Below are 18,523 nucleotides of genomic sequence, written 5' to 3'. Positions count from 1 at the left end.
ACCTTTAAATATAAAGCTAAAAATTGTCTCTGTCACAGAAGATGCCAGAATTCATGAAACTCTTTCTTTACCAATACTTGGGTAGGAAAAATAAAAGTCACCATTTTATACCTACCCACATTAATATGAATAAATACCAATTTTCTAGTTTCAAAATGGAGCTTATTGTGGAAATGTACAATGATGCAGTCAGTGTGAAAAACTGCAATGCTTCTTCTAGAAGTTATACATGGAATTACATATGACCCAATAATTCAACTCCTAAGTATTTGCCCAAAATAATTAAAAACAAGAATTCAAATAAAAACTTGTACATAAATGTGCATAGAATAATTATTCATGATATTTACAAGATGAAAACAACCCACATTTCCTTAAGCAGATGAATGAATAAGCAAAATGTGGTATATCTAGATAATAGAATATTATTTAGCCACAAAAAGGACCAAAGTACTGATTCATACATGCTACAACATGGATAAACCTAGGGGAAAGAAGCCAGTCACCAAAGACCACATATGTTGTGATTCCATTCACATAGAATATACTGAATAGGCAAATAAACAGAAGCAGAAAGTAGATGACTGTTTGCTTAATGCTGGAGGCAGGGAATAGGAATCAAAGGATAGCTAAAGGGTACAGGATCTTTCTTTGTGGTGATGAAATATTCTAAAATTCACTATGGTGACTGTTGCTCATATCCATGCATACACTAAAATGATTGAATTTTACATTTTAAATGGGTGGATTATAGTATAAAAATGAACTGTTTAGTAAATTGACCTTAGAGTAATTTGTTTCTGTTTAGATAAATGATCATCTACAATGAGAGGTTTATTCATAGATAATGGAAGAGTAAAAAGAAAACAAGCCAATTTCAATGCTTCCTCCTGACATCCTCACCTCATTGGAAAGGAAGAAAAGGAGCTGTTCTTAAAGAGGGGAATGCATTAAGGGCTGTGATTTCTATCCATTTCAGGGCAGCACTAATGTTAGTGCTGACTAACAGTAACTTTAACATGCTAACGTTAACAAAGTCAAGAGTCCTCAGAGAACTAAATCATTTCACTACAAGTCAAGGGAAAGACAGGAAGTCTGGAAGAAGGTCCCAGGCAGATACCATAGCATTAGCATGTGCCAACTGTGTGTATATTTACCTTAGATTTTGTGGGAAATGAGTCAGAAGATCCTCCTTTCTTATATGGTCAACTGGATATAGTCAGATTTTTATTGCCAGGGGACAGCATTTGAGTGTCAAACAACCTAATCATTTGGAGGCTGAACAGATGTTTAGGAGTGCTGAATGCATAAGTCTCTGAAGATTGTAGCATCCTAGGTAAAAAACAAACAAACAAAAAAACCTCATTAGACCTCTTAAAACAAATATCATGAATGCTGAAATCCAACTTATTGTGTTAAAAAATTTGTTTTTAATTCCTCTATATGAAATCCTATTAGCCAGCTTTATATAGAGGGTTTACAGTTTTTATTTTAGGAAATGATCTAAGGATCAAGAAAGAAAGTCACATTACTTAAGAAGATGAGGACCCTGAGTAGGCAAGTTTCAGGGACTGTTGACCAAAGCATTGCATTATTGTTCCTGCCTTCCTGGATTCAGCCCCTGAATTATCTCATTTTCACTAATGTACAGAATGATTGTTCTAAAAGTATATCTCACATGTCCAGGAAAATAGCCATAAATGATATCCAGGGCTGCAACTGTTGTCTGATAATTCTTTCCTTTGAATCCATTCCAAAACATAAAAAATAAGAAAATTATAAATGTAAACACCACCTGTCATCAGTTACAAGCCATTTCCTTCCACTACCAGAGGCTTTCTGTGAAAGAAAACAAAATTCTTTATATGACACTTTTTTTAAAAAAAAAAAGAATTAGCAAAGAGTAGTTTTTAAGAGCTCTAGATTCTGATTAACTTAGCTAATTTCCCACTGTTGTTTAATAAATTGGATTGTTAATGCAAAGGCCAATGAATTTTCTAATGACGATAGTAGAATATAGACCACAAGTAGCATGACTTTTCTCCTTTCACCTACCCAATTTAGAGTGAAAATATTAGGCCACCAGAGAAGAGACTTTCTGAATAAATGTTTTAAAAATGCTATCATTTTCAGTCTAAAAATCAAATATTTTTAATAGTATAAACAAAATATATCATTTGGATTGCATATTAATCTTCTATTACTAGTAGCATTGATAGCATCTACATAGGTCTGCATCTTGTCAATGAAAAACAAGGGCAAATATATACCCAGGGCAGTTGGCACCAGACACTGCCCTGCTCACAAGTGCTGTTTATAGTAGAAACTTTTAAAAACCATAGACACACATATACATGCCCGGCATACATTTTCAAATCTATCTCTTTTTTTTTTCCATTTTTTTCACTCCCTTTGTTTCTCCTCTAATATTCTACTACTTCCTTTACTCTTGATATATTTAACATAACGCTGATATACTAGAAAAATTCAAATGCCATGCTGCATGCTGGAAAATGTGTGTGATTAGCCATAGTCACTCAATTATACCCCTTCTGATATTTTTACATACCTCACTATGAAGTACTTCCTGTGTGTGTATGTGTTTCTTGGCAGTTATAGCATGTGACAGTGTAAAATCACTGGTCTGACAAATGACTGTATATTTCTCTTGGGTGAAATTTTTTAAAAAGTGCCCACATTCATACTCCTTGCATCTTCCATCTCCTTCTCCACACACTGTGCACTATTGAGTGGTGTCTTTGATTAGAGTACATGAACCAGAAAAGAAGAATGGGCTCCTGCTGAAAAGAAGAAAATCCCATTGATAACTCTTGGGTTGTTTGCCCACTTACCTGGAAATGGCTCAACAAGGCGTGGCATTAAAAGGAATGTTGGAATTTTTCTCCTCTGCTTGCGAAGCAAAAGATTAGAAAACACTAAGTTTCTGTAATTATAATAAGTAAAACGGTTAAAGTTTGCCTAGACTGAGATTAAATCAGGAGTATAAAATATAATCAGGACCCAGCATAAATTAGTCATAGTCAGCTCACTGAGAAACATGCCAACAGGCTGAGAGATATTTGACTTGATTTGATTCTCCTTTTATCTTAATTTTTTTCTATTTTTACCCTTTTTCTCATTGTTAAGTCTTATAAATGTATATACTCGCTCACCCACTGCTGGTTTTTTTTTTTTTCAGGATTAAATAATTTGTTACAAGTCTTTTATAATTTGTTACCCCTTGCATTTTATTTTACCAAACCCTCAGTCCACAAAAATTCCATGAAGTAAGTTAATTCTTCCTTCCTCTTCACTGTAGAAGAAAAGGCAGTATAATGTATAGCCGTGTTTTACAAGAGAACAAATCTTTTTCTGTGGTGGTGACAACATGGAACTACGTATCACTTCGTCCTACAAAGAAAGTTGTCCTATGTTCAGGACAGACTCAAATGGGAGTGAATGGCACTGACAAACTGGTCGTACAAATTAGGTCTTTATCATAAATTCATAGGGTGGCTTTTTAAGGGCATTATATACGTACTTGAAGTGTGTTTTATATCATTTTCTGACCTTGGAATGTAGAGTTAAACTTAGGAAACACTGATATGGATCAAACTTCATAGTCATAAAAGAAATATCTCATGATTTTATATTATAAGCATCTTGCTCAGCACCTCTCCTTGGCCTTGCCATCCCTGCCCCACTCCATATTGAAAGTAATGGGTACAGTAGAATGCTTAGGAGTAAGTGTGACTTCCTAGGCTGTAGACACCTATATGGTGTCATCCACCCTGAGTTGGATGGGTGACAGCTAGAGTCTAATCACTTCCTGGATAGACCAGAGCAGGGCCATCAACTTCTACTAGGAAACAACTCCTGGAGTGCTGGGAGCCACCTTTGCATTCTCATCATGCAGACCCCAAATATGTTTGTTGAAATTAAAGTGATTTAATGAAATTTAAGAAAATGTAAGAGGCCTTTTATCTCCTTTCTCACTCTTCTTTCCTCTGAACTCAGGGTGAAATTCTGTTGACATTTTTTGTTGGAAATGTGATTGGGTGTTATGTAAACTTTAGTGTGTTCCTTATCTTAGAAGACTAAATTAGTGCCAGACATAAACATGAGTTAGCTCATAATAGTGGATTAGACCTCTGATAAAAAGAAAGCCTCAAAGAGTGGAGCAAAAAAGATAATGATCTTGCACTATTGCAGTGGAGGCTGAAGCAGCTGACAAGCAAAGGGCTTGGGGAAAAAGAAGAAAACTATGGAGACCTTGGATGCCCATGGGTATAAAGCCTGGCTGCAAGGGAGCAGGAAAAACAGAAGTGACCTACTTTTTAGTTATACCTCAAGAAGGTATCCTTGGGACTTAGTTTTGAGTTCATACACATGTAATTCTTCCCTTGAGTCATTTTATCCCTAATATTTACTGTTAAACATTTTATAATAAAAGATTCAAGTTTGTATATTTATATAAATATATCTACCCACATGCATATGAACCGTTCAATTTTTTTTTCTTTGAATAGGTAAGGTTTTGTCTGAGAATGAATGATAATACAAAAAGAAACAATTCTTGATCAGAAAAGGATTTTTCATATAGAAACAAAGTGATTCACAATCAAGATCAGCCACTTCAGGCCAGACACTACATAAACATAGATAAATACTCAAATCAATCAACTAAACAACCATCTTCTGTACTTGGAGTCTGAAGGAAAAATGTGGTTCTTCAATAGACCTTGAGACTTTAACAGAAAAAAATATGTTTTTAGCTCTGTTGCCAGTTACTTGGCATTTCTAACCTTAGAGCAAGGACACTAGCCTATTCTCATATTGTTCAGAGAGCTATATATGGGTATATATCTGTTCCACAAGCATTGATTGAGTGACTAATTGATTGAGCACTTAATGCTCCAAATATACCCTTGAATTGCATAAACTTCTTGCTCTGAAAGCTCAAACAATTGAAAGATAGATGTGCAAACACATGTATAAGTTAATAACAACAGTAAGTATGTGTACCATGTTTGCTGTGTGCCAGGTCCTGTTTTTATATATTCTCATTCAATCCTCAGAGAGACCCTATGAGGAGGCAACGGCATTATCCTAGTTCACAGATAAGAAACACAGACAGACTAAATTAACTTCTTCAAAGTCACACACCTATTAAATGATAGAGTGAGAATGTGCACCTAGGTAATTTTAACCACAGTTTCATGATGGAAAATTGTGGGAATTTAAATGAGGGAAGTTGTTATGAGTAAGTAAAAGTATCATAAGGATAAATAAAACTGAGTTTGTTCTTTAAAAATACGTAAGTAAGAGGGCCAGGTAGAGAGGAAGAAGAGTCAGGGATCTACATTTTGGGCAGAGGCATTTTTGTTAATAATTTATTTTACTAACCAAGGCTTCTATACAATAGATTTGGCTTCTTCTATTCAATTAACTACACTTCAATTAAGGACAAGGAAAAACATTGTTTTCTTAACATGCCACTCTTAAATAAATTGGCCACTGTTATGGAGTGAGGAAATAAATAGTCTGGTTGATCAATTCCATGTGGTGGAGTGGGGTGGGCATTATTGATTTGATGTAATATAGAGCTGATAAGAAAACATCTACCTGATGTAAAATATTTCCACTACCATCCTACTTAGGCCTTGGTGTTACATCATTTAAGGCAGAAGGTGTTATCTGGAAGGAATAAGCCCTTTGATGATCATCAACACATTAGCTCACATTAGTTTTATCAGTTCCCTAGCAGAGAGCAAATGGCCGAAGGCTAGGCAAGTGAGGCAGAGGATAAATATGTTCTGACTGGTAAAATTCAGAAAGGAGGAGAAGAAAACAGTGAGGAAAGGGCCTCTCCATGGGTGCTGAAACAGGCTGAAATGGGCAACGGTGCTGGGTCAGGGGGAGTGGCAAGGGCATTACTGCAGTCTTAGTTTTGTAACCAGATGTTGTACTCAAATGCCCAGGAGTGTTGACCTTGGAAATATAGTTTCAAAAAGAAAGAAAGAAATTTTTTTCTTCCTGTGAGTGGGGAGCTAGGACAATCATCTACATCCTGAAGGGGCAGGATGGGAAGGAAACAAATCTTGGGGTTCAAATGTCTTCCTTGACTGATTATATGTAGAGAGTGTCTGAAAATGTTAGAGCTTAGAGGCCATCCAGTTCCCTCCACTGGGTCTCAGGCTTGAGATCCAGGGTTACCCTGTCAATTCAGTTGTCCCCACAATGCATAGTGTAACCTTCATATGTTTTGCTGTCCTTGATGGAATAGGTCACCTTATCTGCTGTCAGGCATTATCTTACAAACTCTGATAATCTTCTCAAGAGCATAATACACCTTGCAGAAACATGCTGACACTGAGTGGGATAGGTGCCTCATTTCATCCTCTCTTTCACTGCTTTACTTCCTCTCAAGAATAGAAACCTGGATCCAAAGAAGATATATAGTGAAGGATGCCAGAGTCAGCAAATAAAAATAAAGGATGTCCAGTTAAATTTCAATTTCAGATAGTAGCACTTTGGGGGCATGAGTATATCCCGTGGAATATTTAAGACATGACTGATACTAAAAATAATTCGTATTCATCTGAAATTCAAATTTAACTGAATGCCCTGTATTTTATCTGGCAGTCCTGCCTGTACATGGCAGAATAGATATAGCATAGGCCTTTGTGTTTAACAGAACATGAATTTCAATGCCAGCTTTGCTACCAAGCAGATGTGTGCATTTAAAGAAATTACTTAGTCTCTCTGAGCCTATTTCCTCCCTTGAAGAATGAAAATAATATTAATATCTATCATAGGGTTGGTGAGAGGATTAAATAAGCTAATACATGAGCTGTATGGTGGAATGTCTGCAAATTGAAGTCTTGATAAATGATGGCTCCATCTGGAACACAGCAGCATTCAGAGGGTCCTATGAAAACTGATAACAGTTATTATTGATGGAATTTAATTCTCTACTTTTTTAACAGTGTTTTCATTGTCTAAATGCATGATCAATATTTAATTTTCATGTAAATTTCAATATGTTTTAAATTTCTGAAAGGCTTAGGGGTTGCTTTTATATAAAATATTTCATAATCAAATAGAAAGCTATCAAGGCTGATGTTTCCTTGCAAATTAAATCTCTAAAAACTTGCTTGTTATACTCCTGTGCTTGATTGCCAAAGCTGTACAGTAACCCTGCCAATTGCCACTCTCCCTTTATAACCTACTAGTTCAAGTGAATTCTGCAATACAACTTCCTGCCAGTGAGTACTCTTTGTATATGTCTCCCTCTCTTTATCTGTCTTTCCTACACACACACACACACACAGAGAGAGAGAGAGAGAGAGAGAGAGAGAGAGAGCCCGAGAGAGACGCTTACCTGCTCTTGCCTGAGAAAAAAATAAAAGCCCATTTATCTGTCTCAGAAAGAAAAGGGTAGGTGTTCTAGAGATTTTTTAAAAATGTATTTTCTATTTAGAGGGGAGAAAGAGAAAGAAAGAGGAAGAGAGATAACCCCCAAGAAAGTCAAACTATCTATTTATTTAGTTATGTGTTTTAGGTTGCATTTTGCATTAATCACTGCCACACACAGGAGCCCTGCAATTTATTATTGGTGATAAGTGTGGACAGTAGCTATTATTTTCTCTCCCTGTTCTAAAATGTGGCATAGTGGGACACTTAGATTTATGGAACATGCATTATTCAAAACTCTAGTTCTGGGATGGCTCAGCAGGAAGACTCCTAGCTATTTCCGTAACCCTTTTTCAAAATTTCTCCTCACTTGCTTTCTTCGTTTCCATATCGTGGTGTTAGAAATCACTCAAAACTCAGAAGTGGGAGAATTCATCATGGAAATCTATCAGTCCAGCATCTTTCACAAAGGGGAATGAGTAGGAACTCCCTATTCTGCAAAATCCAAGAAACCCTTAGAGGAAGCAAGTAGATTTTTATTGGTAGTAAAGAGATGAGCACCTAATACTCTAGGAGATTCCTAAGGTGTTAAAGACCCACATGGTACAGATACGTTCCTCCTAAACTTGAGTATGCTTGTGCTGATAATTATTTATCTTTAATCATGTTTGGATATATTTTGCTCAGTACTCTAGTGTCATGTATGTGCAAGGTATTTGAAGGGAAGAAAAACAAATTAGAAATTTGAGAATAGTAGTCAATAAAATTAATTAAGAAGTAGAAAATATGTCCATCTATATATATTAACACTGATACATGTAAAGTGAATGAATATACAAATGTAAACCATTTAGAATTGTCAAAGTAAAATACAATTGCTAGTAGTAATGTATGTGGACACTTTTATGGGCGGTTCTATATAAGTGTGAATAAGGTATAATTTAAAAATATTCAGCTTGTTGATTCAGCATAAGAAATCTCTCTGAAAATGGCTCTGGACTAATATGAGAGGTGTAAGCTTTAACAAGGGTGAGTTGAGATACTCACCCTTGTTTGAAAATGGCATTTTCAAACTTAGATTGAAAATGGCATTTTGATGTCATGGTAACCTAAAAAGGATCAATAGGAAAATGTAATCCTTGGCTATAAACAATACAGAAGAGACAGATAATACAGGGGTGTGGTTAGCAGCCTCACTTCAAGATAGCTGCTCTGTAGTTGTAATCCTAGTTAACAATTATTTCTCTAGCTTTCAAATGGCTAGTTCTCTACTCCCTTTCTTTAGATGTGTGAAACTTATATTCTTTAGTTTCTAAATGCTTAACTTTGTGCCATCATCTATATTCTGTTGTGTTTTTGTATGACACATAACCATTTATGGACGCCTACTATATGGGAGCCATTCTGCTATTTGTTTTTAATGTATTCAAGATCTTAGTGAATTTCAAACATTCTTAAGAAGTTTTTCTTAATAGTCCCATTTTAGAGATGCTGAAAAGGTGGGGGAAAGATTGGTTGCTGAATTCTTAAGGAATTTCTCAATATTGATAAATTTGTTTCTCAACATTGGTAAGAGAGTGTGACTTTGGTTCACAGAAAATAGCAATTAACTGAGACTTAATACTGTGATTTATGGCAATTCCCTTAGCTAGAGGATTCTGGAAACAACTCAGCAATGAAAGTACCATCCAGGGAGTTCAAGTTGGAGCTACTGGATCTCCCTCTCCAGGCCTACTTCAGTATAGCATAGTGGTTAAAGACTGGGACCAGACTACTCAGGTTTTAATCCCAGTCATGCCACGCGTATACTAGTGTATGGTCTTGGGCAAGTTACCCAAGTGGGAAGAGTGATAGTCGTCATGTCATGGATTTGTTGTGAAGAGTAAATGAGTAAATAACTATATAGTACTTAAGGCAGTGCCTGACACATAGTGAATGCTATGTAACTGTTAGCTATTTAATTACCTGCATTCTTGTATTCTGAGCTGACTGAGACTGCAACAAGATTTTTTTCCATGAGGAATAAGCAGAGACCTTTAACCAAGAGCAAGGCTCTGCTAAGGTGGAGTGGAGAGATAATACATTACCTTGACTCTCCACTCCTGTCTTCTCAGGCCAGTTCACCATTTTCTAAGGAAAGCAGAAATGACAATTCAGACCATTTGAATATCTTATGATTCTAATTGGAGAGAATGAGAACATGCAATCAGATATCAAAAATCCAAGGTCACCCCTTTTGTGGTAACTTTCTGAAAAAAGCCTCTTCCCAAAATGGCGAATTTATCTTTCATGACTTATCACATTGTAGAATATTCTGCTCACTAAGGTGAGAAGCATTCTTAAAACAGCACTCCTTTCTTTATTTCTTTGTTTACTTGATTGGTGCGTGTGTAGGGGTAGCTTGGGGAAAATAAGGATTGCTAGGGAAAAAGAGGAAACAGGACAATGAAAGTGTTTAGAAAAAGTCGACTCAATTGTTCCATGTTTGTGTTAGAATTCCAGGTGAGACTAAGACCTCTGGGGTCAATATGGGGTTGAAGAAGGTGGTCAAAATAGTGGGCTGAGGAACCTGCAGAAAACTCAAGAGAAATTACCATTCAGGCTATGAACTATTTAAGAATAAGTTTAAATTAACTTCAAAGCATTAATCTATGTTTTCAGTTACTAAAGAAATAAAAGGATAGGCTAGAGAGAAGCCATATTTTTATAATATGCCTTGTATATATTTTTTCTGTTAACACTAAATACATGTCCACTGATGTATGTATAAAATATATATCTATCTCAACACCCAGATATAACCAATCTTAACATTTTTATGTATAGTTTCTCACCTTTTTCTATGCATATATGCAGTGGTGCTATTAATACTATTTAACAATCAGTATGAAAATATAAATTAATAAATAAATCAATACATCAATCCCAAAAATTTAAATTCCACCGTATTTTCTTTTTTTTTTCTTTTTTTTTTTTTTTTTGAGACGGAGTCTCGCTCTGTCGTCCAGGCTGCAGTGCAGTGGCACAATCTCGGCTCACTTCAAGCTCCGCCTCCCAGGTTCACGCCATTCTCCTGCCTCAACCTCCCGAGTAGCTGGGACTACAGGCACATGCCACCACACCCAGCTAATTTTTTGTGTTTTTAGTAGAGGTGGGGTTTCACCGTGTTAGCCAGGATGGTCTCGATCTCCCCTCGTGATCCGCCCACCTCGGCCTCCCAAAGTGCTGGGATTACAGGCGTGAGCCACCGTGCATATTTTCTAAATATATTCAATGGTATATGTTACAAATCTGCTTACCAAGCAACACAAGCCATGGTATAAATTTTTCATTAACTCATTCTTAAAAATTTCCAAATAAGTGGATTTTTAGAGATAACTGCTGTCCTCTGCTCTCTCACATGTAGCCTTTTATTTTATGCTTCTGCCAACAAGGAAATGACGCTCCAATCTTCATCATGATTTGACATAGCAAACCCTATCAAATTCTCCCAGTAATGTTCCTGTTAAAGTGATAGTCATTGGATGATTGCAGTCCCAATTAGAGGGTTTCTCTTCTATTATATTGTCAGTAGCACTTAATCGGTTTTCAGCTTGTGCTCAACTAGATAGGATAATAAAAGTATTCTAGCCCTTAACATATTTCCTGATATTTTAAAAATATAGTAAATACCTTGATTATTGACTCATTCGCAAATACCTTTTATTGGAAAGACATATTTGAATTGATGGAAAGTGCGTTTTTATTCCAAGCAAGAAGTAGTACAGTAAGACGATAAAAACAGATCTTTTGTTAGGCTTCTTGGGCTATAATTCTTTCTCTGCTACTTAAATTTTAATTAATTCTCTATGCCTCAGTTACCTTACCCAAAATATGGGAGTATTGATTGAATTTATAATACTCAAGTGAATGTATTTTAAAACAGGTACCTATAAAGCATATTTTATATAAGACTGGCTGTAAGGTTATAAATAAAATTAATGTTAATGCCCATGACCATCAAGCATTTGATGATTTATCTTAAGGTTTTATTAAATAGAGGTAAACTGTCCCATCAAATTGATATTACATTCAAAAGGATGGAAAAACGGATAGTTCCACATGAGCCTTCCACTTGTCTCTAGTGGAATAGATGCACACATGTTCCATCTGTCCCCTTCAGCCTTCTTCCTATCTTTAGATTGTTGTCCATTCCATCAGAGCCTAAAATACTAGGCTCTGATTTGTGTCAGTGGCAGCTCCCATTATTTCTTCTTCTTTTTTTTTTCTTGGCTTTTCCAGGTGCCAAATATTTCTTATTTATTTATTTAGAGACGGAGTCTTGCTTTGTTGCCCAGGCTGGTGCAATCTCAGCTCGCTGCAACCTCTGCTTCCTGGATTCAAGTGATTCTCCTGCCTCAGCCTCCTGAGTAGCTGGGATTACAGATGTGCACCACCACGCCCCACTAATTTTTGTATTTTAATAGAGATGGGGTTTCCCCCTGTTGGCCAGGCTGGTCTCGAACTCCTGACCTCAAGTGATCCGCCTGCCTTGGCCTCCCAAAGTGCTGGAATTACAAGCGTGAGCCACGGCGCCTAACCCCAGACCCCAGGTATTTCAGAAGTGGGCAGCTGAGTATCAAACACATGTCCACTAGGACATTCATTAGCCACCTCCAGGAGAGCTGTTGCTAACATCAACAGCTGGCTTGCTGGTGGTTGAGAGGTTAAGAAGTAACACAGTATGATTCCCTGGGATGCATGCCTAGGGGTCCTGGTCTAGGCTCCAGTGGTCCTTAAGGGATATGGCATTTGAGAACCTCAGGACAGTGGTTATTTGCTCACCTGTACAGAAATTTCACTATATATTAAAAGCCACTAGCACTTACTGGTGTGCTTGTTGAAAAATCAGCCCTGTACCAATGTATATATAACTTCTCATGCTTCTATTAATATTTAACAACATATGGTAAACATTGTTTACAAAGCCATTTTTTAATAGTAAAACATCCTGAATAAAATTTAAGACTTCTCTAATTTCCTCAGTCTCTTCATTCCTCTTCAGAGTCGTGGATTTGGTCTTACAAATTCGGGTGTCTTGTATCAAAGAAGTTATCAAAATATTTTAAAAAAAGAATTTTTAAATTTTCTGTTTTCAAATGTATCAAGCACACTCTATTTTGAGATTTAAAGGCTTATTAGAAGGTTACATCTACTTGGAAGGAAGTTTGAACAATAGACATTGCAGAAAACACCATACTAAAAAAAAAAGATTAGCAAAAATGCTGAAGAAAAAATTCTGTGAAATCTCTTTAGAGTGCTGTGTTTTTCATAGTTCCCTTGGTTTATAGTTGATTTTTAAATAGGGAGATACTGTCACAGCCTGGACTTATGGAATGCTAATGTTGTACTATATCATTCATTTACTCCTACTCATTAGTCATGAATATGGATGACATTTACTCCTGTAATTAAAATATAGTCTAGTAATTTACACCTGAATTAAATTACAGCCTTAAAATAGGTTCTCCATGGAATCCTGTTAAAGTAACTCTGAGTTATTTTATTCTTGTTCTCATGTTGAGTAATAATACTGACAAAGTCTTGGCCCAACACTCCTCCAATTCTCTTGCTATTACTCAAAGACACTCCTAAATTCTTCTTTCCATGTTTCAGACTCATTAGTGACAGTTTGATTATACATTTACTTGGTGGACATCTAGTCTACTTCTAAACTCATGAATAAAGCAAAAATTTTTTTCTATATTTCTATACCATATTTGACATCCCTTTTGTTCTGATACTTGTCACTTTGTAACTTGTCTTTCTGTTTCTTACCTTCACTAAAATATATAGTTCTAGAGAACAGATATTTGTCTAGTTCAGGTTTAGCATAGCAGCTTATGCATAGAAGGTATTCAAAAATGAGTTGGTGTATAACTAAACAAGCAAGGAATGCTATAAGAACTTCCACAGAGGATAAAACTATGAATTATTATCTCAGTGATTATTTTGTATTATAGTTTTAAAAAGAGATAAAGAGGTACACTTAGAAGAATATAATTACTGTTTTCAATTATAATTGCTTCAAAGTGTGAGGGATGTATTCTAAATACCTGTAACTCCCTCCTAAATACACTTTATGAATCTGTCATTCATAGTTTTACCTAAACTGTTCTCCATCTGTGTATTCTAGGGTAGAAAGCTGAAATGTTTACTATTACCTTTGTAAGACAGCACTTTTTTAAAGCTACTTCAAGCCTCAGAGGGTGTCTTCTGTTTTATTATATGGGAATTATGTAGGTAAGATCCCTTTTATCTGATCCATAACCTTTATTGGTTTAGGGCTCATATCCCTTAGCAACCTCACTGAAGCAGTGTGAAGAGCTCCTACAGCTCTGGTCTGCCATCACACTGCATGCACATCGCTACCCACTTCCATTCCCTTGGCAATTTTAACTACCCAGGTCTGTATTTATTTATTTTTAAAAATGACAAAATAAGGTATGCCATTTTAAAGGAGAAAAAAATTGTGATTTTTGTCATAAGTAAAATGATGATATGGATTTTATTTATAACCCTCTTTCAGATGAAGGCCAGCCTCTTTTTATCTTTTTATTCTACAGAAAAGTTAGTTCAGGTTTCCTAAGTATTAATCAGGACAGCGTCTAACATCCTTCCTAGATTGTACCTTTTAGGTATACCCTTCATGAAAGGCCCATACTATACTTCTGAAGATTTTTTTTTTTTTTTTTTTTTTTTTTTTTTTTTTTTTTGAGACGGAGTCTCGCTGTCGCCCAGGCTGGAGTGCAGTGGCGCAATCTCGGCTCACTGCAGGCTCCGCCCCCTGGGGTTCACGCCATTCTCCTGCCTCAGCCTCCCGAGTAGCTGGGACTACAGGCGCCCGCCACCTCGCCCGGCTAATTTTTTGTATTTTTAGTAGAGACGGGGTTTCACCGTGTTAGCCAGGATGGTCTCGATCTCCTGACCTCGTGATCCGCCCGCCTCGGCCTCCCAAAGTGCTGGGATTACAGGCGTGAGCCACCGCGCCCGGCCTGAAGATTTTTTATAAAGGAATTCGAACATGGTGAAGTAGGAGCCATTTATTAGCTACTCTGTGTGTGTGTGTGTGTGTGCGCGCGCGTGCATTTAAGTGTATATTTAAAAAGTTATAAAACCTAAATCTGAAATTTTATTGTTCATCTCATTTTCTAGGACAAACAGTAGTTGAAATGGGGCACAACAAACATAAATGGGTAAACCCATCAAACTTTTTCACCCAAATATATATAGGTTGAGTATTTCTTATCTGCAATGCTTAGGACCAGATGTGTTTCAGAATTCAGATCTTTTTGTAAAATTTTTGGAATATTTGCATATATATAATGAGATTTCTTGGGGATGGGACCTAAGTCTAAACATGATATGCATTTGTTTCTTATATACCATATACATACAATCTGATGGTAATTTTATACAATATTTTAAATAATTTTGTGCATAAAACAAAGTTTGCATTAAGTACTTATGTATAGAATGTTCACCTTGTAGTATCATGTCAGTGCTCAAAAGCTGTAGATTTTGGATTATTTTGAAGTTTGAACTTTTAAAATAAGGGTTGTTCAACCTGTGTTGACCAGTTTGATTTTTATCTTTACCTACTGTCTTAGTCCATTTGTGCTGCTGTAATAAAATACCATGGACTGAGTAATCTATTCGCAATAAAAATTTATTCCTCACAGTTCTGGATGCTGAGAAATCCAGATCAAGGTGCTGGCAGATTCAATATCTAGTAAGGCCCTACTTGCTGTGTCCTCACATGGTGGAAGAGCAAAAAGGGGTCTAAGCTATTTCCCTCCAGCCCCTTGATAAGTCACTAATCTTTTCATGAGGGCTGAGGCCTCACGACAATCATCTCTCAAAAGGCTTTACCTCTTAATACCACCACAACAGTAATAAACTTTTGACACATGAATTATGGGGGACATTCAGACCATGCCATTTACATTTATATTTGCCTCCTGTGATTATTAGCCCATATTTTGTTATTGTTGTTAACAACTTTTTAACTAGCAATTATCATAAGAGACTTTTTACAGAGATCTATAGAAATAACTGCTACTGAGTCATATTATTCGCCTTTTTTTCGAAAACCCTACCTAATTAATGAGCATATGCCTTCATTAAGTTTTATTTATTCAATAATCCTATACCTCAATACTTCAATAGATACTGCATTTGAGATCTCTCTCTCTCTTTCTTTCTCTCTCTCTCTCTCTCTGTCTCTCACTGTCTCTCTCTCTCGCCTTCCCTCCCTCTCCTCTCTGTCTCTCTTTTTAATTAGAACTAGAAGGGGTATTTTAGAATTAAGAGTGGTAGTATGACCCTAGCAGGAAGAAGAATTTAGAGAAATACTACTACTAATAATATAATAAAGCCAACCTCTATTGTGTTTTTCCTTTGTGTTAATAATTTAAAGTGCTTCTAACGTACTTTGAATATATTATATCATTTAATCCTCTCAACAGCCTCGCTGAGGCCCAGAGAGGTTGAATAACTTGCCCGTGGTCTCTTAGCTAGTTAATAGTGGAGTCAGGATTCCACCCCAGAGAGTCTGGCTTCAGAGCTTGGCATGTAAATTTTGGTGACTATAGCTCTCAACTCTTTTTTCTGTGGTGGAATTGAGAGTACACTATTTACACAGATGCCTTTGAATGAGATAAGAATTCACTTTTTATCCCCAGAGAAGAAGTGAGTCAATACTATTTTTACTATTTTTACTTCTGCTCCTAGATTGTTGAGTTCCAAAGAAATGTTCCCATATGACAAAATTTTAATGGCTTAATTTATAATGCAGTTATCATAATATATTAGTTATAATATTTTCCATAACAGATGTTTATTTTTTACTATATTTTTACTAAACAACACACGGAAAAACTAAAAATATCTAAACGTAAAGAATATTTTCATTATGCCTTCTTTCGGGTGTTTGTAGTTGTGTATCTGGAATTTTTTTTACCCTGATTTAGAGATTCCTATCAAGGTGTTTTGTATACAATAGGTACCAAGGAAGCCTTTTAAGAATGAAGGAGTTGCCTGAATGACCGATAACTTCCTGCACACCTCAGTGAAATTCAGTTTTGAAAATTCATCTACTTTGCCTTCTCATATAACACAACAGCTGTTGCAACATTAATTTTATCATAAGTTTACATTTACTTTAGAAAACTTTTTTTAAAAATTAGCAATCAGATAGACGATGTGGATTCGAATCTAATGGCTATTAGCTGGGTGATATTGGATAATCACTCATTTCCCACCAAACTAAGTTCCTTCATCTTTTCTTCATAATTGGTAATAGTCACTATTTAAGAGGACCTCTAAAAGAACACAATCACATAGTATATGTGAAGTACTAAACACACTGTCCATACATAGCAGGCATGACATTAATATAATATGACATAGACTGATCTTGAGAAATTATTAATAATGACTGTTTTCAGACTCAATTACTTAATCTTTTCCATCATAGTATGCTCTTAAAATATATTTCTACTAAATAAATTTATGTAGTGCTGAACTTTAATATCTTATCTGATATGGCCTTATTTTGGTATATGTATCAGATCATTGATCAGAAGTTTCTTGCAGAGAATATGTTTCTGAGGACCATCAGGTTTTTGATAGATGTGTTTATCTTTGATGAGTAAGAGTAAAAGAAAATGGTGAAACACATTGTCTATAAGAGAAAATCAATGTTTTCCTGAGCCCTGGGTTTTCCCATGTAGGATGTATTGCCATGGAGGATCTGCTCCCATTCACTTCCACACTGTCTTTGTGAACACACCAATTCTGCCATGCTCCTCTGAGACTGAAGGGCTGTCATCATCATTCTAATATGTGCGTAATTACACATAATATGTGTCCAATCTGCCAGTCTAAATGTGGAGAGCTGACATCCTGGCATGCTTATGCATGTATTCCAGCCAGTTCTCTAAACCCTGTGGCACCTTTCAGCATAGCTACTGAGTAATCCATAAAGTGCTTTAAGTCAGAATTAGGTGCGCAAAAAGAATGGAGACATAGGGAAAAGGAGCAGTTATACAAAGGTCTTAGGTCTGAATTTTTTTTTTTTTTTTAGACAGTTTCATTCTTGTTACCCAAGCTAGAGTGCAATGGTGCAGTCCTGCCTCACTGCAACCTCTGCCTCCTGGGTTCAAGCAATTCTCCTGCCTCAGCCTCCCAAGTAGCTGGGATTACAGGCGTGTGCCACCATGCCCGACTAATTTTTTTTGTATTTTTAGTAGAGATAGGGTTTCACCATGTTGGCAAGGCTGGTCTCAAACTCCTGACCTCAGGTGATCCGCCTGTCTCGGCCTCCCAAAGTGCTGGGCTTACAGGTATGAGCCACCACGCCCAGCACTAGGTCTGAAATTTAAGCTCCAGTGTTCAGGAAACTACCAGATACAACTGGGTAAAGATTATGCTTTTTCCATTTTTGAGTCAAAATAATCATAAAAATGTTGAGACATTACTTGGCAGAAAGCATTATAAGAATATAGTGGAAGCAAAAAGTGAACATTTGCTGGCTTCTTACAATGTTCTAGATAATGAGAAAGGTATTTATATACATTATCACATTTAAGTCTCAGAACAGTTTCACAGAGCAGGTAGCATTTGATCCATTTTGGAGATGACACTTATGGCACAGAGATGTTAAGTAGCTGACCAAAATTCACTTAGTTGAAATCTGAAACAAAACAAAAGAAAACAAAACAAAAAAAAATTTCTAATTCTAAAGCCCAGGAGTGTTTTTAGTACATAGCAGTGCCTCATCAGGAATTCTGTGGATAAAAATGTGTGTCAGTATTTAAGGACATAATTAAAGTCTCTAAAGAAGACACAGTGAGAAACTATAAATTTCAATTCTTTAGATGTGTCTAGAGTCCCAGCAGAATCAGCTTACCATTGCATTCCTCCCACTGCAGTCCTGAGGGGTTGGTCTGTGAGCCATGATAAAAGGGAAGGAAAATGGTTGAGTGGTGGATAGGAAAGAAATTTGATCCTCTTGACCTTGTGTTGAAAGTTCTCACCTTGAAGTTGTCCCAAGACTGCCTGAATA

At 36.3% G+C, this 18,523-nt stretch overlaps 1 long non-coding RNA gene across 1 annotated transcript; it reads right to left on the bottom strand.

The window, feature by feature from the left end:
• Window positions 1-2,446: 2,446 nt before the first annotated feature.
• Window positions 2,447-18,415, bottom strand: LINC00903 (long intergenic non-protein coding RNA 903). The gene is made up of 2 exons (NR_046624.1): window positions 18,368-18,415; window positions 2,447-2,798 (listed from the first exon to the last, which is right to left on the bottom strand). It is a non-coding gene; the product is annotated as a long intergenic non-protein coding RNA 903 (long non-coding RNA).
• Window positions 18,416-18,523: the final 108 nt, after the last annotated feature.

The sequence above is a fragment of the Homo sapiens genome, chromosome 3 (assembly GCF_000001405.40).
Source record: "Homo sapiens chromosome 3, GRCh38.p14 Primary Assembly".
Taxonomy (NCBI): Eukaryota; Metazoa; Chordata; class Mammalia; order Primates; family Hominidae; genus Homo; species Homo sapiens.
Note: the sequence above shows the minus strand (reverse complement) of the source record. Positions and strands in the feature narration are given on the sequence as shown.